Below are 25,623 nucleotides of genomic sequence, written 5' to 3'. Positions count from 1 at the left end.
CTTTGATGCGGTGAAAGCCCTGGCTCAGCTGCTGAGACTTACAGTGTCCTTGCCACAAGGAATCTTTTCATCTTGCTTTCACTGAGCATCAGTCTCAGCTGGAGAGTGCAACACTGTGGAATACAAAAGAGTCAATTAGTTGATATTTGTAAGGACACTCAATTCTTCAGAAACCAAGACCCGTGAAATGATTTCCCCAATATCTCAAGGCAGCTGTGAATTGAGGGATGAATGCATCCTCTATAATGAGAACAATAACTATATTTCCACTTTGATGTGGATCTGGGATAAAAACAAAAACAAAACCAAACAAGTACTGTGAGAAGATCTCAAAAAGCTCCTAGGGATGCAAAGGGATCAGTAAGAAAATTAAGAGCCTCTATTGACTCTAAACCCTTTAATGGAATAAGCATTGTAATCCACACAGAAGTCCATTAAGAGAATCTGATTCTCATCCCCATTCTACATATGAGGAGATCAAGGTCCTGTAGAGTTAGGTAATCTCTCCATGGTCACACAGGTAATAAGCAAGCATTAGAAGCCTGGATTTAAACCCAGATCTAGCCCTAGATCCTGTTCTCTGGACCACTGCTGTGCAATTACCTTGTTTTTTGAGACAGGGTCTCACTTGGTCACCAGGCTGGAGTCCAGTGACATGATCTCAGCTCACTGCAACCTCCGCCTCCCAGGTTCAAGTGATCCTCCCACCTCGGCCTCCCGAGTAGCTGCGATTACAGGTGTGCACCACCACGTCTGGCTAATTTTTTGTATTTTTTGTAGAGACTGGGTTTCACCATGTTGGCCAGGCTGGTCTCGAACTCCTAGGCTCGAGGGATCTGCCAGCCTCGGCCTCCCAAAGTGCTGGGATTACAGGCATGAGCCACTGTGCCCAGCCTGCAGTGCACTACCTTCCGATGGCCATATACAAACACATTTTTAAAAAATGTAAGTCATATACTCTATTGTCAATACATGAAAAGCTAGAATGTTTTGTTGCCAGAGTCACAGGGAAGGCATACAATTGCAAATTCAAATGTATGTCAGCAACATAGCACTAAATTTTGCTCAGAGATGTGTTTTTTTTTCTTTTTTTGAAAAAGAAAGCAAGCATGTTATCAGCAGACATGAAGAAGCTGAAAACATTTTCATTAGATTCTATTAACCTCTACTATTAGATAACATTAAGCTCTTCATTGTCCGGCATTTATTCTGGCCTCAGTTCACTCACTTAATGTCCCAGATCCTTAGTGCCTGAGGATTGTGGAATGGCTTTGAGAAAATGGGTGTGAAGGGCTTATATGGGACCTGCATATAATAATTGCAGTTGTGATAAGTGTTATAATTTTTGTTCACAATGTTTCTCTCTAGAGGATTTGTTAGTTTTCTCTGCCCAAACTGCCTCCCCGCTTACTTCTGGTAACTGCACTTCCACTTTTATCCTCTAAGGGATTCTTTCCAGCTCCATGGGTTTGGAGGGACTCTCAGAGTCACAGTGCCCTCCCAAGTTAGCTACCGGGGTGGGCTTATGACTCATGCTAGTTCAGGTAAAGACTTACTGGGATTCCTAGATTGGGAGTGAAGCAAAGCTCTTCTCTTACTTTGCATTGAAAGCTCTAAGAATGTAACCCCAGAACTGTCTAGAGTTACATCTGTGTGACAAGCCTGTAAAGAAGCCAGAGAGGATTTGAAGCCAATTCATAGACAGCTATAACATAAGGAAAATACACCTGAGTCCAGCTTGACCTTTATCCTAATAGGTATAGTAACTGATAATGTTGCCTTTATGTTAGATTTTCAGAAACTTGTAATTGAAAAACTCCTGATTAAATATATTATTTCTTCTTTCATCCACTCATTCACTTATTCTTTCATGCATTTATTCAAGAGATGTTTATTATATATCTATCATGCGCTGGGCTTAAATGGAAAATTATATATCCTGTTCTCGATATTTATAAGAAACTAAGAAGCTAGACACGTTTTAGAAGAAATTTACAATTCTGGGTCAGTTTACACTTTTATTTTAGGGATTATTTAGATTTTAGGGATGGTTTAAGGCTTTCTGAGGGAAGACTCTGAGCATCATCTGTATACTGAAAGGAGGACAGCAAGGGATATATCTACCCTATACCTCATCTTAAAAAAAAATCATAATCCAAAAGTAATTTGTATTTTTTTTTAGAATACAGAAAGTACAGAAAAGCACAAACAAGAAAATAAAAATGTTCTATAGAGCAACCACCCAGAAGTAACCTCTGTTAATATATTGACATATCTATTTCCAGTAAGATCTTATTTTGCCGGGGGAATGTTTAGGTCTGCAAGTTGGCATTATTCTGACCCATCAAGACATTCCATTCATTTTTTCCCTCTTCTGTCACAACTAAATTAGACGGCTGTTTAGCATCTAATGAAAATGCTTCCAGTGGATAATCAGAGCAGCATTTAGCTGTGCCTTCTCATTAGGGGCACAGGTTCTGCCTAACTGACAACTGTCAGGGGTCAATTGGTTATGTTCGGCAGGAATAATTAGAAAAGCTGCTTCAGTTGCTGCTTGAGCGGTTAAGGACGACGCATGTGAAAAATGGTTCCTCCCAGAAGACCAAAGAGAAGGCAGCAGAATCCTGGAACATCTCAGTTGTGAAGCTTAACAAGTGTTCCAGCTTCTTCTTCCTTCATACACAGAAAACCAACGGATCCATTAGTGTGCTCATAAAGTAGCTCCATCAGAAACGGATTCATTTGTCCTCTCAAGGAATTCAGGTCACCCAATCTTGTCTAGATCTATCCAGAAACATGAAAGGTGGGCATGCCTAGCCCATTTCAGGACTGGGTCAACTAGCAGATGTCAAGAGTGAACAACCTGTCCTCAAGTTCTCATCCTGGTGAGATATTCCCGATAGCGAAATGGCTAAATGGACAGGTGCTACGCGCAGATCCCTGGGATCTGGGATCCCTAAAGCTGCTACTAGCTGGGTGAACTCTCTTTTGGAAATATTAAGAGTTAATACATCAAAGCTTTTATAACAGTATTTGCACATAATAAGTGCTCAACCAATGTTAGCTGTTCTCATTAGTATCTATTTATCCAATGGCAGTTAAATGCTTAGAAATATCTATCACAAAGAATTAAGTGTTTTAAAACAAAGAAAAATGCAAAATGACCAGAAGCCTATAGAACTTTTCCCCACAGGTAGTTAAGTACTATTCTTGTAAACTTAATTGTAATATTCATTTTCTTAAAGAAATTATAGCTAAAGTTTTCGCCATTTCAGAAGTGATGATATCCTAATTACGCAGTCCTGAATCTCTTTTTAAATTCTATTCTTCCCACTAATGGAAAAACAGCTTGCCATAAAGTCTTCTGGTGGTGGTGCAGTACCTTCTTTGGGACTTACCCTCCTACCAACTACAGTGGTATATTCTGGACAAAACGTAGAAAGCAAATGTTTAAAATAATTGGAGAGTGATCAAAAGGAGGTAGAATCGGGAAGGCATTCAACATTTAGAAGAAGCAACCACAGTAAGTAAGACTCATATTATTCAGCTTTTCCTCTGGAGGCATGCTCCCATCCAGGGCATGGAGGATCATCTCCAGGAGACAGCCTTAATCTTATTAGCCTGAGCACCAGAATAGCTGGAAATTGAGAGGATAAATCTCAGAAAGGAGGAAGTCTTTCAGAAAGACTGGGAGCCCCCAAATCTTTCTATTAACTATCCCCACTTCATGGTTAACTTTTCAGTTTACTTGTGTAGCATGAGATTCCAAGGAACTCAGAAGAAAAAGTATAGCTGGAAAGTTGAAAGACCTGTGGATAAATTTCAGCAGCCACCCACCATAGGGGAGACAGAGTTTGGAGATCAAGACCCACTTTTGGTTTTGTAAATGTCTCAGGATTCCATTAAAATTCCAGCAGGGCCATGTCTTAGAAGTGAAGACCTCCTCTCCAAACTCTTAAACATCATGGTAAGTGAGAGAAGCAAGATGTAAAAGACTACCTACTGTATGATTCCATTTATGTGAATCGTTAGATGAAGCAAACTTGGAGGCAGAAAGCAGATCAGTGGTTGCCTAGGGTTGGCGGGGGGGAGTGGCAATCAATTATAAACAGGAAAAAAAGGGAACTTTATGGGGTGATGGAAATGTTCTAAAACCAGATTTTGGATAAACAATGTGGTATATACACACAGTGAAATATTTTTAGCCTTCAAAAAAGGAGGAAATTCTGATGCATGCTACAACATGAATGAATCTTGGAGGACATTATGTGAAATGAGCCAGTCACAAATGGACAAATATTGTATGATTCACTTATATGAAGTACCTAGAGTAGTCAAATTCATGAAGACAGAAAGTAGCATGGTGGTTGTCAGGAGCTTGAAGGAGCAGGAAAGGGGAGTTGTTTAGCAGATACAGAGTTTCAGTTTTGTAAGATGTAAAAAAGTTCTGGAGATGAATGGTGGTGAGGGTTGCACAACAATGTGAATGTATTTAATGTCACTGAACTGTACACTTAAAGATGGGTCAGATGGCAAATTTTATGTTATATTGAGTTTGCCAGAAGCAACAAAAAACTGGGCTCACTCCTGTAATTGCAGCACTCTGGGAGGCTGAGGCAGAAGGATCGCTTGAGCCCAGGAGTTTGAGATTAGCCTGGGTAACATAGCAAGAAGGGTCTCTATGAAAAAATACAAAAATTAGCCAGGTGTGGTGGTGAGTGCCTGTAGTCTCAGGTACTCAGGATGCTGAGATAGGAGGATGGCTTGAATCCAGGAGTTCGAGGCGGCAGTGATCCATGATTGCACCACTGCACTCCAGCCTGGGTGATAGAGAGAGACCCTGTTTCAAAAAACAAAAACAAAAAAAGGAAAATTCTAAATTCTAAATTAAAAATTCTGGATTGTGATTATGGTTACACAACTCTATAAATGTATCAAAAATTACTGAATTATATACTTACAATGCATAAATTTTATGATTCATAAATTTTATTTCAATGAAGCTATTAAAAGGGCCCTAGAGGAGAAAAAAGACCTTCTCTCTAGATTGAGAGATTTGCCCAGGGACTAAGGACAAAATTAAAATAGACCTACTCTAAGAAGGACTAAAACCAAGATTTCCCAGGCTCAAGGTATTCATTCAGTAATACGATTGTCTGTTAGAACAAAATTGAACACCCTTCAGAGGAAGATAATGAAATTTATATTCTCTGTAATATATTATTTACAATGTCAGGTATGCAATATAAAACGCCACACATTTGAAAAATAGAAAAATGTGACCTATAGTTGAGAAAAATTAGTCAATGGAAATAGACCAACAGATGGCCCAGATGTTGGAATTAGCAGAAAGCGGCTTTGTTTATTGCAGCACTATTCATGATAGTCAAAATATTGAAATCAACCTAAGTGCTCATCAATGGATGAATGAATAAAGTGTGATATATATACACAATGGAATATTATTCAGGCATAGGAAGAATAAAATCCTGTCATTTGCAGCAACATGGATGGACCTAGAGGTCATTATTTTAAGTGAAATAAGCCAAGCACAGAAAGACAAATATTGCATGTTCTCACTCGTGTGGGAGCTAAAACAGTGGATCTCGTGAAGATAGAGGGTAGATTGCTGCTTCCAGAGGCTGGGAAGGATAATGGGAAGATAAAGAGAGGTTGATTAATGGGTACAAATATACAATAATTGGATAGAAGAAATAAGACCTAATTTTTGATAGATGAGTAGGTGAATATAGTTTACCACAGTTTATTGCATATTTCAAAATAGATAGAAGAGGATAATTTGAATGTTTCCAGCATAAAACAAAGACAAATATGTAAGATAATGGATATCCCAATTACACTGAATTGATATTTGCAAATTATATGAATGTATTAAATTATCACATACACCAAAAACATGTGCATCCATTTTGTATTGAAAAAATCTCTTGATCTTATTTCTCCTATCTAACTAAAACATTGTATCATTTGGCCAATATCTCCCTAATCCTTTCTTCCTCTTCACACCCATCCCAGTCCATGGTAACCACCATTATACTGTCTGTTAATTTGAGTTCAACCTTTTTACACTCTACATATAAATGAGATCATGTGGTATTCGTCTTTCTGTGCCTGGCTTATTTCACTTAACAATGTCCTCTAGGTTTATCCATGTTGTCACTGTGACAGAATTTCCTTCTTACTTAAGGCTGAATAGTATTCCATCTCATATGAGATAAATAAATAAATATATATATATACACACACACATATATCGATTCAATATATATCACATATATTCAATATTTATATCTATAAATATTAAATATATATTTATAAATATATATCTCTATAAATATTGAATATATATTCATCTGTATATATTGATATGCATATATTGAATATATATATATGAGAGAGAGAATTTGTTTTATTTATTCATCTGTTGATGGACACAAGTTGATTCCCTATCTTGATAGCTTGGCTATTGTGAATAGTACTGTGTTTTGTTCATAGGCACTCAATAGCTGTTAGTTGGTTGTTATAGTTTGTACATGGACATAGTTTACCTAGCCTTATTCTTTCTATATTTGCTATGTCATCCATCTCAAGCAAAATTTCCCCCTGAACTATTTTGAGTTTGAATTGTAATATAGGTGGTTAGAGGGTTTTGAAGGGGAGGGGTTATTTTGAAAAGTATTTGAAAGATTTTATTTATTCCTAGCAGTAGTAGATTTTAAAATCTTTCTCTTTTGATTGTAAAGCCTTAATATATATTATAATTTGAGGATTTTTATCCCCCTTTACAAAAGCAAACTGTTAAGAGAGACAGTATTTCACTTTAAAACTAAACCCTACTGCAAAGCAGATGCTTCGAGCTTCTTGAATTTTACAGTAAGTGGTTTGAAAAATGATCTTTCCATTTCAGTTATTTTAGATGGCAAGTTCAGAGTTCAGGTTCTCAAGTTTGAAATGTGATATAGTTTGGCTCTGCGTTCCCACAAAATCTCATCTCGAATTGTAATCCCCACATTTTGAGAAAGGGTCCTGGTGGGAGGTGATTGGATTATGGGGGCGGTTTCTCTCAGGCTGTTCTCATCATAATGAGTGAGTTCTCACAAGAGCTGATGGTTTTAAAGTGTGGCACTTTCCCTTTGCTCTTTTTCTCTCCTTCCTGCCACCTTATGAAGAAGGTGCCTGCTTCCCCTTTGCCTTCCGCCATGACTGTAAGTTTCCTGAGGCTTCCCCAGCCATGCTGAACTGTGAGTCAATAAAGCCTCTTTGTTTATAAATTACCCAGTCACAGGTAGTATCTTTATAGCAGTGTAAAAATGGACTAATACAAAATGTTTGCATTTTTCAAGCTGCTGCAAAGGAAAAAGGATCCAGAAACTTCATAACCAGGACCTGATGATTTGAGGGCTCTGTTGCAATCACTTGGGGATCGCTATTACTCAAGGTTGTTGAAGTGTCAGAAATTTCTCCCTCAACCCACTAGTTACTCCCTTTGAATTTAATGGTTTGTCACTCACATGACTCCATCTGATTAAAAGTTCAGACTCACAAATCAAAAGTTCACAATCAGGGCCAGGTGCAATGGCTCACGCCTGTAATCCCAGCACTATAGGAGGCTGAGGTGGGTGGACCACTTCAAGTCAGGAATTTGAGACCAGCCTGGCCAACATGGCAAAACTCTGTCTCTACTAAAAATACAAAAATTAGCTGGGCATGATGGCACATGTCTGTAGTCCCAGCTACTCTGGAGGCTGAGGCAGGAGAATTGCTTGAGCCCAAGAGGCAGACGTTGCGGTGAGCCGAGACTGTACCACTGCACTCCAGCCTGTGCGACAGAGACCCTGTCTCAAAAAAAAAAAAGTTCACAATCAGAATATTTATCATATTTTAAGAATACCTTTCCTCTCCAGCATTACCAAAATAACACTAAAATGTGAAATTTTACTTAGACTGATAGAGACGTTTTTTGTTAAGTCATTTTAGAATGACAAGGTCATTATAAAAAGGAACACAAAGGTCAGTATTTTATCATGCTTAACATGATACAAAATTCTGTTTTTGAATAGCTAATTGCTGCTTTAGTGTAATCTGGCAGCTTACAAGTAAATGAAGACACACATAAATGTGATCTAAAATGAAATTGTCTAAAGATATAAAAGTAGCTGTATTAGGGAGTATCACAATTACTCTTTCTTAGCCTCTTTGTTTAAATTTTTCAGATGTGTTAGTTTGTTGATGGATGATGTCAAGTTCTAACACAAAAAATTAAACATAAACATAACCGTTGTTCTTAAATGGCACACCTTTTCTTTTTTCTTGTTCTTAAGAAAGCACTTCTTTTATGACATTTTCTACCTTTGAAATATCATTACTGGTGCACTGTAGATAGTTCTCTTAAAAAAGGAGATACTACCAACATCCCTAATTGAACTCAAATCAGTATGTCCTTGAAACAACAAAAAATTGTAATAGATAACCAGTACATTATGAGACTCAGACAATGTAAAGGGATTTAGTATTGTAATCAGATATAACTTACAACAAAGTGTATTGGCTCATAATTACTACTGAGCTGCAAGTAACTTCCATGGCAGTAGAAATCTGCTTATGGAAATGACTCTAACTAGCCTTCTTTTACAGGGTCAACCCAGGTAAATGTGGGGGCTGCCGAATAAATGGAAAAGGGACCTGAGAAGATGCCAAACTTGCTCTGGGCCATAACCAAGAGACCCAGGTGCTGTGGTCTTGTATGCTTTTTGATTAGGGATGATGCTTCTGCTCCAGGCTCTTGGTAGGTGGCCCAGGGCAGAACCTAGTATACCATAAGGCAGAATGGTACCTGTCCTTGTGTAAAGATAGTTGTCCCATTTCATTGGGCTATAAAAGCATTGCACTGAGGGTTATTGTAGGCTGCATTGTGGGAGTCAAGGAGGACTGTCCTATAGCTGAGTATGCTTTTGAGAGTTCCTCCAGTAGAAAATCAATTCATCAATAATTGATTTTACACAAGATGCTGTGCTTGGTCCTGTTATGGACACAAAGACGAGAATGATTCCATTCCTATTGTACAAGGAATTCATTTCCTCTGCACCACCTATCTAGGCCACTTTACTCCCTATCACAGAGTCTAGGGCTATCTGCTGGGTTACAGTAATAAAATGCATGGTGGCTAAAAGGGAATTTGATGCAACTCTTAACTCCCCTTTGGGAGAGGAAATTGATTTGCGAACACTTTTCCCTCTTATACTCCCTGGTTCTTTATAGACAGAAGGAGAGTATAGCCTGACGGTAAAATTTAGGTAACTGTCTCTTTTCCACCATCAGTTACTCCCTCCTTCTTCCTATTGCATCCACACATCACAGAGTTTAAAATTTTACCAACTGAAAATCATTTGGGTTGACAACACTTTTGGGAGTTGGATAACTCTATTTATAAATCTCCTGGCCAGGTGTGGTGGCTTAGGCCTGTAATCCCAGCACTTTGGGAGGCCAAGGTGACAGGATCACTTTAGGTCAGGAGTTTGAGACCAGCCTGGCCAACATAGTAAAACCCTGTCTCTACTAAAAATACAAAAATTAGCTGGGTGTGGTGGCGGGTGCCTGTAATCCAAGCTACTTGGGAGGCTGAGACAGGAGAATTGCTTGAACCTGGGAGGCGGAGGTCGTAGTGAGCCAAGATTGTGCCACTACACTCCAGCCTGGGCGACAGAGCGAGACTCCGTCTTAAAACACAAAACAAAACCAAAAACAAACAAACAAACAAACAAACAAAAAATCCCCAGTTGATAAATATCATTTACATTCATCTTTCTATATCATATTAACCGTTCATCATTTGACATAAACGTAAGAAATGCGTTGAATGATATCTTAATCACAGGATCTCTCAAGAAATGCAAATGGAATGAATGAATAAATGATGTGAATTAATGGAATTAAATTGTTTTCCTTCCACCGTCTAGCTGAGATTCAGGGAATGCAATTTGAAGTTTTCAGTGGTTGGCAGTATAGAAAGAGTGGCAATTTGAGATAATGAATAGGAGGGTCAGACGGCAGGCAAAGGCAGTGAAAACCTCACTGGCCTCTAGGAGATGGGAGGGCTTTACTCTGGAAGGGAAAATGGACTAGGGACAAGGGAAGAAAAGGGGCTGGGAAGAATTAGCCCAACGCAGCCTTGCCCCACAGACCAAATGCTGTACTCCTAATCTCTGTCCATTCCTCGTCAGCTGAAATAACAGAGAGAGGCTCTCTGAAAGAAAAGATTTTTATTTGGTAACAGAGCATTGCTGTGGGAATATGTGTACCATAGTAATCTGTGTGCATATTCAGAGAGGTAAAGAAAGACAAAGGTTTTTAAAGGAAAAATGAGGATTACATAATTGTTTTAAAATAGTTTCTCTTGGCCACAACGATTCATAATAAGGGTGACTCCAGTCTGAGCTTGGACAGGCAGTTGCTGGGCCAATGTCCTTGCAGAAGTATTTTTGCTGGAAGGTTGCGATGGCCTTTATGCAAGGTTGTGTTTTGTGTAGTCTTTTATGATAGTTCTTATTATCAGGCATACAAGCACGAGAACCCTCTCTTCATGGCCTTCTCCATCTCTATCTGTCAGTTTGTTTGTTTTTTAAACACACAAGTGACCTCAGTTTTATTCTGACAGTTTTCACAAGGCATAGCGTTAGCTTTCCTAGAGAATACTGAAGGGAGAGGTAACATCAGAGCGGGAGAGAATGGAGGCTGCTTTACAGCAGAAGCCTAATAGATGCTTAGGGAGGGGCAGTTTGTGCCAGAAATGGAAGGTATCCGGGGGTACTCTTTGACACACTTGCTTGATCATATTCCCAACTTATCAGCAACTTCAGTCTTAGGTAGTATTCACACAAAATGTACTATCTGGGGGCTTTTATTAGCTTGGGTGACTTAGAGAACAAACAGGATTCTTTGCTAGCAAGCATACAGGTACCCCTAAATCAGGGGCTAATCCCCTTAGTTGGCCATGGAGGAGAGCTCAAGGAGGGAGAGTTTTGTTGCTAGGTCTGAGAGGAGAGAAGATTGGAACTCCCTCATTTGTTAAACTCAGAGCATAAGATCTTGCCTACATTTAGGAGTTGACCAAGTTTTATTACTGAAGGAGTAAGGAAATGGAAGCCACAATTGACTGATCTATGGAATGAGGATGAAAATAACAGTGTCTACAATTTGTGTTGTTTCTTTAGCTTTTTGTAATCAGACAAGTCATATAATCCCATGGATCTCAGTTTCTTCATTTAAAAAATACTAGTAATTTTATATACTAAGGTTAGGTGGCTAACTGGCAGCATAGCCAAGATTAGAAAGTAGGTCTCTGCCTTTCGAATTCCAGTCTCTTTCCCCTGACCTGTAGTCCAGGGCCACAGCAGGGCAGGAGACAATAACAGCATAACTATTAAAAGAGGCAATAGAGAAAGGATATTATTGAACCATCATAGTAAGTGTAAGGCTAGAAGAAAAATCACAATCACAAAGCAAATTCTGTTATTAAAAACTTAAAAACCAGAATTACAGTATTTAACAAGGTAAAAAAGAGAGTGAAATTAGTAAGGAAATTTGGTGAGGGCAAGGGGTGGTCATTTATTGGCTTTAAAAGCATGCCACGGTCCATAGGCTCAAAAACTATGGCTTCAGAAGGCTTCCGAGAAATTGGGGGCATAAAATATGAAGTTTTTATTATAACTTAAAATGAAAGGAATTCATGTTCATTTTAAGGAAAAACTGGAATAGACATCTCTGCTAAAAGCATTCCTTAGAACCAAAAAAACAAATGTTAGAGAAAGGTCATCCCAGCTATCACATGTCATTTTATCTGCCTTCTGTAGTTTGATAAGCATAAAAGGTTTGTGATAAAGTCCTAAAGGTTAAAATAGCATACAGAATTATGCGACTGCTTTCTGAGTTACTGTTTTAATACAGTGGATTTTTTCCTGGGAAACAATTGTGATTTTCTTTGGAAAGTATTTCCCTGTTAATCTGCATGGGAGAGAATCTGTGAAATTTACAAACGCTTCTCTGTGAAAGTTAAAGACATAAAATCCAACACTATAGATCCTTTATTTCTTCTGTTAAAATAGTTAAATGGAGGGTCATTAGACTGAGGTGGCTTTAATGCCCTGAGTTTCTCTGTAAACAAAATGAAATTTAAGCACAGGAAATCGCAAGTGACCAACGGAGCATTAACTATATCATCAGGGATTCCCACCAAAATGGTCCAAATAAAGCGAAAGTACAAACTTTAATCAAATAATTTCTATGCTCTGTGTCTGCATTCACACTATAAAAGCCTTTCTTTCAAATTCCTCCAGCAGAGCCCAAACCAATAATTAACTACTGTTGCTCAAATAAACTCTTAAAATTTTTAATGTGCCTCAGTTTATCTTTTAACACTTGTCTCATTGATGAGTTTAGCACTCATGTACTGAGTACAGCACTGGCCACCTAACTTTCGGGGTTGGATGCAAAATGAAAATGCAGGAGATGTCAGGTTGGAGATATCCATTTGGGGGTCACTTGCATCTCGACTATATTTAAAGGCATCCGTCTGTCAAGAGATCAGCTTGGAATGGAGTGCAGGTGGAAAAGCCAAGGGAGCATAGCATTCCTGTGCACACCAGCAACTGGAGTTTGAGGCCGGATGCGGTGGCTCACGCTTGTAATCCCAGCATTTCGGGAGGCCAAGACAGGCGGATCGCTTGAGTCTAGGAGTTTCAGACTAGTCTGGGCAACATGGAGAAACCCCATCTTTACAAAAAAATAAAAATTAGCCAGGTGTGGTGGTGCGCATCTGTGGTCCCAGCTACTTAGGAAGCTGAGGTGGGAGGATCGCTTGAGTCCAGGAGGTCCAGGCTGCAGTGAGCCATGATTGTGCTACTGCACTCCAGCCTGGGTGACAGAGAGAGAACCTGTCTCAGAAACAAAGCACAACCAAAACCAAAACCAAAAACAATTGGAGTTTGAGCCTTGGAAAAAAGAGGAGCCAGCAAAGGATGCCCTGAAGGAGAAGCTGATGAGGTATGAGTAAAACCTGCAGTTTAAAAAGTCACAGAAGCCAAGAGAATGAAGTGCAAAATTTGTCAGACTGGGGTGGATGAAGAGTGAGAGAAAGGAGGGAAATGGGATGGAACCTGGAGGGGCTGAGGGATCAAGAGAGTTTTTGTTTTGTTTTGTTTTGTATTTTGTTTTTTGTTTTTGTTTTAAGATGGGAGGAACCAGAGCAGACAAAACTATGACAGAATGTGGCATTTGTGGGCCTTTGCTGGAAGACTCCATACAAGTTTATTTGGGTATGACAAGGGAGATGATGGGGATCTTCCTCTTCTGAGCTTGTAAGAAAAGGGGCATAGGCCACCCTGCCCCAAGTATTTCAAAATAGTTTTTCTTGGCCACAAAGATTCATAATAAGGGTGACACCAGTCTGAGCTCGGACAGGCAGTTGCTGGGCCAATGTCCTTGCAGAAGTATTTTTGCTGTAAGGTTGCGATGGCCTTTATGCAAGGTTGTGTTTTGTGTAGTCTTTTATGATAGTTCTTATTATCAGGCATATAAGCACGAGAACCCTCTCTTCATGGCCTTCTCCATCTCTATTTGTCAGTGTGTTTGCTTTTTAAACACACAAGTGACCTCAGTTTTATTCTGACAGTTTTCACAAGGCATAGCATTAGCTTTCTTAGGGAATACTGAAGGGAGAGGTAAGATCAGAGTGGGAGAGAATGGAGGCTGCTTAACATCAGAAGCGTAATAGATGCTTAGGGATGGGCAGTTTGTGCCAGAAATGGAAGGTATCCAGGGGTGCTCTTTGACACACTTGTTTTTAGGATGTACATCTAATCATGTGACTCTCCTCCTTAAACTCTTTAACAGTTTCTGTTATTTTCAGGATAAATCCCAGCCTCTTTGATTCATCTCTTGTCATTTTCTTCCTCTTGCAGCACAAATCAGACACCAGACTGCTCTTGGGTTTTCTCTTGCTGATGGCCTTTGCTAATGACATTTACCACTTTTGCTAACTCTTACTCATCTTTCAGATCTCAATTTAAGTGCCACTTCCTCTGGGAGGTCTTTTGTAACCTCTAGACTAGATTACCTTCTTTACATTTTAACTACTTGTTTGTTTATTTAGTTACTTTCTTTACTAGACTATAAGCCCATCAAGGCAAGTATTCTGTTGGCCTTGTTTATGTGGTATTTCCAGTGCCTTATGCACAGTGCCTTGTGCATAAAATGCTCCCCCCACCCACTCAGCCCCAATAGTTTTTTTAAAGAGAAAATATTTCTTTATTTTATGAAGCTAGTACAACACTGATATCAAAACCAAAGACATAACAAGAATGCAATATTACAGTCCTATCATAAATATAAATTTAAAAAGCCAAAACAAAATGCTTGCAAACCAAATACAGAAATGTGTAGAAGACATACACTCATCTCAATGCATGCAAAATAGCATTAAATAATTTTTTAAACATTTAATAAAAACTCCTAGTAAACTAAAAATGACTTTCTTAACCTACAACAAACATTGGCCTTTCAAATCAGAAACATGGCAAGGTTTTGGCTATCGCCACTTCTTATTTATTTATTTTTAAATTTATTTGTTTATTTATTTAACTATCATACTTTTGGTTCTGGGATACATGTGCACAACGTGTAGATTTGTTACATAGGTATACACGTGCCATGGTGATTTGCTGCACCCATCAACCCGTCATCTACATTAGGTATTTCTCCTAATGCTATCCCTCCCCTAGTCCCTCACCCCCGACAGGCCCTAGTGTGTGATGTTCCCCTCCCTGTGTCCATGTGTTCTCATTGTTCAACTCCCACTTATGAGTGAGAACATGCAGTGTTTGGTTTTCTGTTCTTTTGTTAGTTTGCTGAGTATGATGGTTTCCAGCTTCATCCATGTCCCCGCAAAGGACATGAACTCATCCTTTTTATGGCTGCATAGTATTCCATGGTGTATATGTGCCACATTTTCTTTATCCAGTCTATCATTGATGGGCATTTGGATTGGTTCCAAGTCTTTGCTATTGTGAATAGTGCTGCAATAAACATACATGTGCATGTGTCTTTATGGTAGAATGATTTATAATCCTTTGGGTATATACCCAGTAATGGGATTGCTGGGTCAAATGGTGTTTCCGGTTCTAGATCCTTGAGGAATCGCCACACTGTCTTCCACAATGGTTGAACTAATTTACATTTTCACCAACAATGTAAAAGCATTCCTACTGCTCCACATCCTCTCCAGCATCTGTTGTTTCCTGACTTTTTAATGATCAGCATTCTAACTGGCGTGAGATGGTATCTCGTTGTGGTTTTGATTTGCATTTCTCTAATGACCAGTGATGATGAGCTTTTTTCATATGTTTGGTGACTGCATAAATGTCTTCTTTTGAGAGTGTCTGTTCATATCCTTGCCAACTTTTTGATGGGGTTGTTTGTTTTTTTCTTGTAAATTTGTTTAAGTTCCTTGTAGATTCTGGATATTAGCCCTTTGTCAGATGAATAGATTGCAAATATTTTCTGCCATTCTGTAGGTTGCCTGTTCACTCTGATGGTAGTTTCTTTTGCTGTGCAGAAGCTCTTTAGTTTAATTAGATCCCATTTGTCAATTTTGGCTTTTGTTGCCATTGCTTTTGGTGTTTTAGAAATGAAGTCTTTGCCCATGCCTATGTCCTGAATTGTATTGCCTAGGTTTTCTTCTAGAGTTTTTTATGGTTTTAGGTCTTACATTTAAGTCTTTAATTCATCTTGAGTTGGTTTTTGTATAAGGTGTAAGGAAGGCATCCAGTTTCAGTTTTCTGCATATGGCTAGCGAGTTTTCCCAACATTTCTTATTAAATAGAGAATCCTTTCCCCATTGCTTGTTTTTGTCAGGTTTGTGGAAGATCACATGGTTGTAGATGTGTGGCGTTATTTCTGAGGACTCTGTTCTGTTCCATTGGTCTATATATCTGTTTTGGTACCAGTACCATGCTGTTTTCCTTACTGTAGCCTTGTTGTATAGTTTGAAGTCAGGTAGCATGATGCCTCCTGCTTGGTTTTTTTTTTTGCTTAGGATTGTCTTAGCTATATGGGCTCTTTTTCAGTTCCATATGAAATTTAAAGTAGTTTTTTTCTAATTCTGTGAAGAAAGTCAATGTTGGCTTGTGGGAATAGCATTGAATCTATAAATTACTTTGCGCAGTGCAGTATGGCCATTTTCATGATATTGATTCTTCCTACCAATGAGCATGAAATGTTTTTCCATTTGTTTGTGTCCTCTCTTATTTCCTTGATCAGTAGTTTGTAGTTCTTCTTGAAGGAGGTCCTTCACATCCCTTGTAAGTTTTATTCCTAGGTATTTTATTCTCTTTGTAGCAATTGTGAATGGGGGTTCACTCATGATTTGGCTCTCTGTTTGTCTATTACTGGTGATAGGAATGCTTGTGATTTTTGCACATTGATTTTGTATCCTGAGATTTTGCTGAAGTTGCTCATCAGCTTAAGGAGATTTTGGCCTGAGATAATGGGGTTTTCTAAATATACAATTACGTCATCTGCAAACAGAGATAATTTGACTTCCTCTGTTCCAATTGAATATCTTTAATTTCTTTCCCTTGCCTGATTGCCCTGTCCAGAACTTCCAATACTATGACGAATAGGAGTGGTGACAGAGGGCATCCCTGTCTTGTGCTGGTTTTCAAGAGAATGCTTCTAGCTTTTGCCCATTCAAAATGATATTGGCTGTGGGTTTGTCATAAATAGCTCTTACTATTTTGAGATACTTTCCATCAATACCTAGTTTATTGAGAGTTTTTAGCATGAAGGGGTGTTGAATTTTATTGAAGGCCTTTTCTGCATCTATTGTGATAATCATGTGGTTTTTGTCATTGGTTCCATTTATGTGATGGATTACGTTTATTGATTTGTCCATGTTGAACCAGGCTTGCCTCCAAGGGATGCTCCTGCAGACTGGAGCTGTTCCTATTCGGCCATCTTGCCAGATCTCCCCTGGCTATCACCATTTCTAATCGCCATTGCATTGGAGGTCCTAGAATCATAGCGGAAGGCAAAGAAGAAGAAGGCACCTTCTTTACAGGGTAGCAGGATGGAGTGAGTGCCAGCCCCAATATTTTTGTTAAGTGTTAGTGAGTCAATCTGAATACATTAAAAGGATATGCAGCAGGGAAGGGCCAGGCAGTTTTTTGTTTCTTTGAGGGCTGGGCCAGGCAGTCCAGCCTAGCAGTCTAAGCAAAGACTCTGGAGCCAGATTTTCTGCTTTAAATTCTGGCTCTACTATTTATTAGCTCTGTGACCCTGAGCAACTTACTTAGACCATTCCATGTCCCAGTCTCCTTTTTTATAAAAGGAGATGGTACTAGCACCTATATCACAAGGTGGTTGTAATAATTTTATACATTTAAACATGTGAAATACGTTGAACCGCTGTTATTATTTTACTTAAATTTTCTTATTAAGATAATCATAGTTTTTGTCTTGGAGAAAATAATATTAAAAAATATCGTATAAACAACTGCTATGGCTTGAATATAGTTTGTCCCCACCAAAACTCACTCATGTTAAGAGTTCTTTCCTAATATGGTGGTTTTGTGGGGGGTGGCTTTAAGAGGAGATTAGGTTGTTAAAGTGGATTAATCTCATGAGACTGGGTTAGTTCTTGCTGAAATGGATTAATTCCCATGAGAGCAAATTATTTTCAAGCCAGAGCCTTTTTTTCATGTTTGGTCCCTTTCACACACATCTGCTTCCCCTTCTGCTTCTCTGCTATGTTGTGATGCAGTATGAGGCCCTCACCTGAGCAGATGCTGGTGCCATGCTTCTTGGACTTCCCAGCCTCCACAATTGTGAGTCAAATAAACCTCTTTTCTTTCTAAATTACCCAGTATCAGGTATTCTGCTATAACAATGAAAAACAGACGAAGACAGAAAATCTCTTGGATTTAGCAGGGTTAGCTGTTTAAGAACATTTTTGTAGGAAAGAAATTTGTAAGGCTTATCTACAAGGGAAATTAGCATTAAGAAATGATTAAGACTGTTATTTCATTGTTGATGAAATTACTGTGGATTTTGAATATAAGATCATATTTACACAGAAAGTTATCTGAAAAGGGTTTTTAAAAATTAATCTTCTTTCATATTTGTTTACCCAAATCCCTTCACAGCTCCCAGAGTAATGTCTGTTGCTCTCTTATCACACACTGAACTCATGGCTTTTCTGGGGAAATTGGGAAGAGAAAACTCCCAGCAGCTATGGAGGAAAGAAAAAAATTTAGTCAAAATTTATTGTTAGTGGAAAGAGTTCAGTCTTAGCACCATCGCTATAAAAATACACTGATTTTTTTTCCTGTGTTTTCTTCTAGGATTTAAGTGATAACTGCCTTTCAATTTTATCTCCTTATCTGTCTAAAATCTTCAGATATTGCATAGTATCAGAATCTTTGAAGACCTTTGTAAACTCCAAGTCTTTTTAAATGTGAATCTATACAAACTAATGCTTTCAACATAAGAAATCAGAATTAAACACAACTGGATATAGGAAAGTACTTGGTAGAGACCCTGGCTCTTTGTCTTGGCATTACCAGGCCCTTGATAGACTGTGAGCCCTGGTGCAGAGCTCTTCATTAAGTCTGTGTTCCCAGGGTCTGCTGTTATTATGTTCATGGGTCAGTCAATGTTTCTTGTATTGAACTAATCCAGAGCTTGATAGATGATGTAACATGATAATGTTGATTCTTAAGGAAATTATTCTATAGTTTATAGTTATAAAGTTATAATGCTAGCTGATTTTGAAAATTATTTGTGTATTAATGAGGAATTCTATTGTGTATATAAAACTTTACTTTTCAAGAAAAAAAATGGGAAGTAATAGTACATATATATAAGTTAGCTGTCTTATGTAACCAATCACCTTAAAACTCAATGGCTTATAATAATCATATACTGTTGTAGCTTACATGCCTGTGGGTATGCCTGGGCTTGGCTAGAGAATCTAATCTGAGGTAGCTCTACCTCATGCTTACCTTCCTCCTACTGGGAATATAGGCCAACCCAGGCATGCTCTTTCTTGGTGACAACAGAAGCTCAAGTGAAAAACAAGTAAAAGCATGTAAGAGCTTTCACATGCTTTACTTATTAACAAGTTACATGACTGAACTTAGGGTCAAGGAGTTGGAAAATACACAGTTTTCTGGGGATAATTGCATTCTCATGGCAAAGGGTGTAACTATAAGGGGAAATGAAGAATTGAAGCCATTAATGTAATCTACCACATTATATTTTAAAGTCTATAGAGATGAAATATAGATGAACTAATTATCATTACACATCTGAAAAGACTTTCCACTTTCATTATTATCCTATAAAGAAGTGTTATTTAAAGCAGATAATTTCATTAAACATTAACTGTTTAGTCTTGGTCACCAAATAAACATTTAATTAGTCCAATGGTTCATTTAGTCTTTGCCCTTCAATAATAGGGTAATTGAAATCTAACCCAAACATTTTCAGAATAAATGTATACCATGTATTTTGTTTGACTGTTTAGTTCTATAGATAAGGTCTTAAAGAGAGTGCACTCTATATTAATGTCTCAGGCTTATAACTTCCTGCATTGTTTACTTTCTATTTTTTCCAGTGTCACAAAAACATTTACCTGCTAGTAAGCAAAGAAAGAAAAATAAATAATTTAGAAGTCATACCTGTCATCTCAAGTATAGCTCAGGTTGTCCGTCATAGTTAAAGTAGTGAATAGCATGAAATAATGGTTTTTTATGAGCAGGTTATTACTTTTCACCATCTCAAGAACTCAATTAATTCAGCAACTAAAATAAAATATAGGCAGGCATTGGGTTTCTAAAACCAGCAGCTTGACACATAGATGAATAGTTTTCTTATATTTTATAGGAAAAAAATAAAAATGAACTATTGCTATATTCTCATACAGGTTTTTTTAAAATAAAAAATTCAAATCAGTTTGAAGATACATGGTATTATATTTTGGAAAGATGATTTAATGTGGAATATATTAATACAAGTTTTATCTGGGTAAAACTTGGGAAGAGAAAACACCCAGCAGTTGTGAGAAAATAAAATCTACAGCTTTTGTAAATGTCTTTGGAGATAGCTGATAAATTTCAAGTTTCAGGTGGACATAGGAATGAATGTGGTAGGTGAGTGTGAAACAGGAGGGCCCTAGAATCTGGAGAGGGGCATCTGGGGAGACAGTTCAAGAGAAATGGCAAAGCAGGGGTGGTATTCTTTGTCTTGGGCCTCTTTTTTTTATGGACCTCTTTTCTACCATTTTCCCATCTCCAACCCTATCATTTCCTTTTTCTGCTTGAGCACCTGGTACCTTCATGTTGCTCATACTCACCTTCATTACAACTAGTGGCATACTGATAAGTATTTAACAACTAGCTATCTTAAAAAAAAAAAGCTCCTTGGTTTGTGGCATTTGCCATTTCCTGTGGTGTCAATATTTCCACCAAGTCTGACTTCAAGCTACCAGTCTTGTCAATGGAATGCAGAGTTGGGAAGAGAGTCACACCACTGACTCTGTGAGCCAACTCCAACATGTTGCTGCTTAAATCCCACCCCTTACAGGTAAAGGCTACACTGGCTCACATAGAGACTTAGACATAGAGACTTTAAAAATGCCAGATTTGTGTCATGTCTGGGGGCTGGTGTATACAACATTTGTTGTAATCTAAGATTTCCAGTGACCAAAGTCAAGGTGCGAATTTGCCACTTCCCCTCTCACCTTTGATTTGTTTTTCAAGACATAGATACAACTTCAGTTTCTCTTGATAAAGACCTCAAAATTAAAAGCAATTTCCCTCTGTATCATCAGAGCTGCCACATTCTCACTCTTCCCTGAAGAGATTCGATGACATGTAAATTGTGATTTTCCATTTTTAATGCCCTCATTGAAATTAGGTCAATGGAGAAGGGTCACCATCTCATTGAGCTCCCACAGCAATGTCGTGAGCTCCCGGAATGGACTGCAAGCCAGGATGGTGACAGGCCCACTAGAGTGCGCCAGCTCAGGTGAAGGCTGGCAGGTGTCCCAATTCATATTTTAGCAGCGGCAAGCTGACTTTTTTTTTTTTTTTTTAAAGAAAAGGCAAAATAAAGCTGAAAATAGTACGTGAGTCTGTAGCAATGGCAAATCTCATAATGAAATTTATATAGGCTTTCAGTGTCTGTGGATTTGAGAAAATGTATCTTTTCTTTTTGCTCCTTTGCTCCATGTCCAGGCCTTTATGCTTCCTGACAACCTACTGCTTATGGAGTGGGCTGCTGACCTGCTCCTATGAGCTGAGGACAAGGGTAACTGTGGGATTGGGCTGGAGTTTTTTCTGTACTGATTTCATCCTTAAGACACCAGCAGTTTGATGCATGAGTATTTCTGTCTTATAAAAACAACAATGGCAACATAATTTACTGAGCTCCTATCATGTGCTAGCATTGTTCTAAATTCTTCAAATGCGTAATCCGATTTAATTAATCTTAATAGGCGGAGGCAAGGGGAAAAGGGGTTAACGTCTTTCAGAAGGACATCTAATATATTTTCCGGCAAATTTTTTCTATTGGCAGAGGCAAACTGTGATTCTAAGTATGACACAGAGTCCTGAGATGCAATGAAGACAATCTCCATCAATTCTGTAAGTTCAAAAACCCATGTATAATTTATTTCCTTGTTGTTTCCCACATGCTCATTATCTCATTTTCTGGCCATGATGGAAAGGGGCATGCTCTGAATCAGCTGCTATAACAAACCTCTGAGATGTAACTGAACTACAGGAGCAGGATGTTTGTCTGAAGGTTTATGGAGTAGGGATCTAAAAAGTTCATTCTGATTCAAAAGGAACCAAGAAAACAGGATTGATGCTCATTCATACATTCAGTAAGGTAGAAGGCATGATATGTCTGCAAGTGAGGTGGTATGAATCACTATCCACAAACCAGGGTGTGCAAGATATTGCCATTTCTTGATCTTCATTTAATAAATCCACATCGGAGACCTCATACCCACATCCTATCAGTATTGGGCCTGCCTCTTCTCCCAGAGTCACATCAGAATTCATGGAGTCCCGACGAACTGGAGGAATTCTAATTCTGCTGACATTTTCTTTATTGAGGCCCTTAGTCATCCCCCAGTTCTGGCTCTGGGCTTCTACACAGGAGGCATGGGAATTGTTTCTGAGGCTGGGACCACTGCTGCCTAAACCTCACCATTTCTGGTTGCACCCTGTAGCATCCATTCTAAGTTCTTGCCACTTCCATGAGTGGCGGGAGACAGGGTGGGCAAAGGTCCCGCTGGTCACCGTATCTGCTGACTTTCACTCCTTCCTCCTTCTCTTGCCCTCTCTGTCCTCTTCTCCCTTCCTTTTTTTTTTCTTTTTGCCCTCATGCTTCATTTCCCCTTTGCTTCCAGGACTCCTGGGAAGCATAATATTTTTAATGGCTGAAACATTCGGAAAACCATAGTTGCCTTTGCAAGTAACATCTGCTTTGGGGCCTGTATATATACCCGTATGTATATATACCTGCCCCTCTGCCCTGCAAAGGGGGCCAAAGTGAAACACATGGAGAAAACCACACGATATTATGAAAATGATCCTGCTGGGATATTTATTAGAGTGGGCTACAGACAATGTTTATAGATTCTGTTTTTATCTCAAAAAAAAAAAAAAAGACTCTTCCGCTCACCCCATGGGGCACCTCCCTGTTTCCTCCAGCTGACACACATACACTGGAGTCTCCAGGAGGTGTCAGTCCTCACTGATGAGAAAAGTGGAGACCTCTTGGTCCACAGAAACCTCAGTCTCCAATAGCTCTCACCCATGACTGACAGTGACTGACAGTCTGGCCATCAAACTCTCTAGTAGAGGAATCCCACCTATGCAAACCAGGGTGGGGAAGGACAAGGGAGGAGGCTGGGAGCAGAGGCAGCTCGTCCCCCCATTGGACCTCCGTCTCAGTTTCTCATCCTGCCACACAGCACAGTGGGTGCAGGAGCAGGGAAATGGTCGCAGCATGGAGTTGGGGAGGGGAAGGTGGGTAGGTAGAGGGGAGAGATGTTGTTTTTCCAGTGTCTATCCTTTTTATTTATTTATTTGTTCATTTATTTTGGAGACAGAGTCTCACTCTATCACCCAGGCTGAAGTGCAGTGGCACAATCTCAGCTCACTGCAACCTCTGCCTTCCAGGTTCAAGCAATTCTCCTGCCTCAGCCTTCCCAGTAGCTGGGATTATAGGCACGTGCCACCATGCCCAGCTAATTTTTGTATTTTTAGTAGAGATGGGGTTTCTCCGTGTTGGCCAGGCTGGTCTCGAACTCCTGACCTCGGGTGATCCACCCACTTTGGCCTCCCAAAGTGCTGGGATTACAGGCATCAGCTACCATGCCCGGCCCTTTTCTTTGTTTTAGATTCGGTGGTGAAAGAAACAGGAAAAAAAGGGAGACAAACACTATCTCACTGCTGCTTTTCACTCCCCATTAGTCCAACTTCCACCCATTTTTTCTCCCAATTTCTTTTTCTTTTTTTTTTTTTTTTTGAGACAGAGTCTCGCTCTGTTGCCCAGGCTGGAGCGCAGTGGCGTGATCTCGGCTCACTGGAAGCTCCGCCTCCCAGGTTCACACCATTATCCTGCCTCAGCCTCCCAAGTAGCTGGGACTACAGGCGCCTGCCACCATGCCTGGTTAATTTTTTGTACTTTTAGTAGAGACGGGGTTTCACCGTGTTAGCCAGGATGGTCTCGATCTCCTGACCTTGTGATCCACCAGCCTCGGCCTCCCAATGTGCTGGGATTACAGGTGTGAGCCACTGCACTCAGCCTTTTCTTCAAATTTCTATTAAAATTCCTCATCATGCTCCATCCCCAGGCTGAATTTTGATTCCAGCTCCAGCCCCCTGTGGCACTGTGTCAGGTTCTCACTGTCTTCCGCTCTATTTGCAGCTCCTCATATCTTTTTCTAGACCCCTCAATCCCCAGTCGACTTCTCTGTGCGAGGTCCAAGGGTCAGTGTCAGTGTAAGCGATGAGAGTGGAGAATGTGAGAGTCCTAAATGTGGGCCTGCAGTAAAGGGAGATGTGTTCCCATCATTCCATGAGAAACTCTGAAGGAAGATTCCTTGGGAGCACTGGCACACTTGGAGATACTGTGCTATTGGAGAGTAAGTAGATGTTGGGGCCAACCTGGAAAACCTAACCTCCCTCCAAGTATAAATTTTCTCAAAGAAGGTTGTATCAGAGTCCAAGACTTACAGATGGTTTTAGAAAATGACATATTCTCAGATTTGGGATTTCCAGAGTAGAATGTTATTTTATCACTTGGCTATTGCTGTGCAATGAGCCATTCCAAAACTCAGTGGATTAGAACAATAAATGTTTATAACATCAACTTGGCCTTAGCTTGACTAGATTCTATCATGCAACTATGAATAGTTTGTAGATCAGCTGGGGACTAGGATGGCTTCACTCACATGTCAGCTGGTCAGCTGCAGCCAAGGTAGGGGTGTGGTGGGGAGAACTGAGTCACTTCTCTCAATCTTCAGCAGAGGTTTCATGGAGGTGGCAGGTTTCCAAGAAATAGAGGAACCACAGGCACCCCATGAGGCCTAGGCACAGTGTTACTTTTGCCCCATTCTTTTGGCCAAAGTTAGACACAAGATGGCTCAGATTCAAGAACTGGGAAAACAGACCAAACCTCTTGATGAGAGGAGTTACAGAGTCACATGGTAAAAGGCATGGATCCAGAGAGGCCATTCATTGGGCTATCCATGCCATCAGTCTTCCATGGCATGATTCCATAATTCCCCAGAAGTACTAGACCAGCTCTCAAATAAATAGAGAAGAGGTTGAAATTAATATTTCTGTCCTCCCATTTCCCATGTCTGTGATTCTTCCCTTAGTCCTTCAAAAAGTGACTACTTTATAAATCATTAAGAAGAGTCTAGCTCTCTAAGGTCTGTTAAAGTAGTTCCTGTTTTTCTTTTTGCAGGAAGATTATATTGAATGGAGTGTTCCTAATGTCTGTAGTGATGGAATTCCAGACACACAAGTTAGTGGTAAGAAGATGAATTCAGAGGGTAGCAAATACATTTCTACAATTTTCAAATCATGCTAGTCACTTGTAAGACTAACCCAGTTTTGTGCCATATTGGATTCATTAGTTAATTTATACACTTATTCATTCAGTTTTTCATTCTCTTATCTTTTCCGCTAAGATGTTGGAGCTCCTACTAAATATCATGTATACTAAGTTTATTGTTTAGTTAAAAGAAACATAAACCAACTCAAACTGGCTTAAGTTTAGGAGAGCACATTTCATCAGAATGTCCCTCAGAAGCCAAGGGCAGAAATATGGCAGGCCTCAGGAAAGATCAAAACAGGGAACTGGAATGCTGATGGAAACTTGAGCTCTTCATCTTTTGCCTTGATATCTTTTTTTCAGATCAGCTTTGTCTGTCTTCCTGTAGATCTACTGTGCATGAGTCCAAATTTGAGGTACAGGAAACACAGGAGTCAACCAAACAGGCCAAGTCCCTGCTTTCATGGAGACTAC

The 25,623-nt window shown here is 39.4% G+C and overlaps 2 long non-coding RNA genes across 2 annotated transcripts in view; both read left to right on the top strand.

The window, feature by feature from the left end:
* LOC105378003 (uncharacterized) overlaps positions 1–3,497 on the top strand; it is a 29,316-nt gene extending 25,819 nt beyond the window's left edge. The window contains exon 3 of the long non-coding RNA XR_942991.2: positions 3,349–3,497. This is a non-coding gene — a long non-coding RNA (uncharacterized LOC105378003). The remainder of the gene's footprint in view (positions 1–3,348) is intronic.
* Positions 3,498–21,393: 17,896 nt separating this feature from the next.
* LOC105378002 (uncharacterized) lies at positions 21,394–25,623 on the top strand. Its single transcript, XR_942990.2, has 4 exons — positions 21,394–21,716; positions 24,016–24,232; positions 25,060–25,126; positions 25,513–25,623. It is a non-coding gene; the product is annotated as an uncharacterized LOC105378002 (long non-coding RNA).

The sequence above is a fragment of the Homo sapiens genome, chromosome 6 (assembly GCF_000001405.40).
Source record: "Homo sapiens chromosome 6, GRCh38.p14 Primary Assembly".
Taxonomy (NCBI): domain Eukaryota; kingdom Metazoa; phylum Chordata; class Mammalia; order Primates; family Hominidae; genus Homo; species Homo sapiens.
This window is presented reverse-complemented; position numbering and strand designations above follow the sequence as displayed.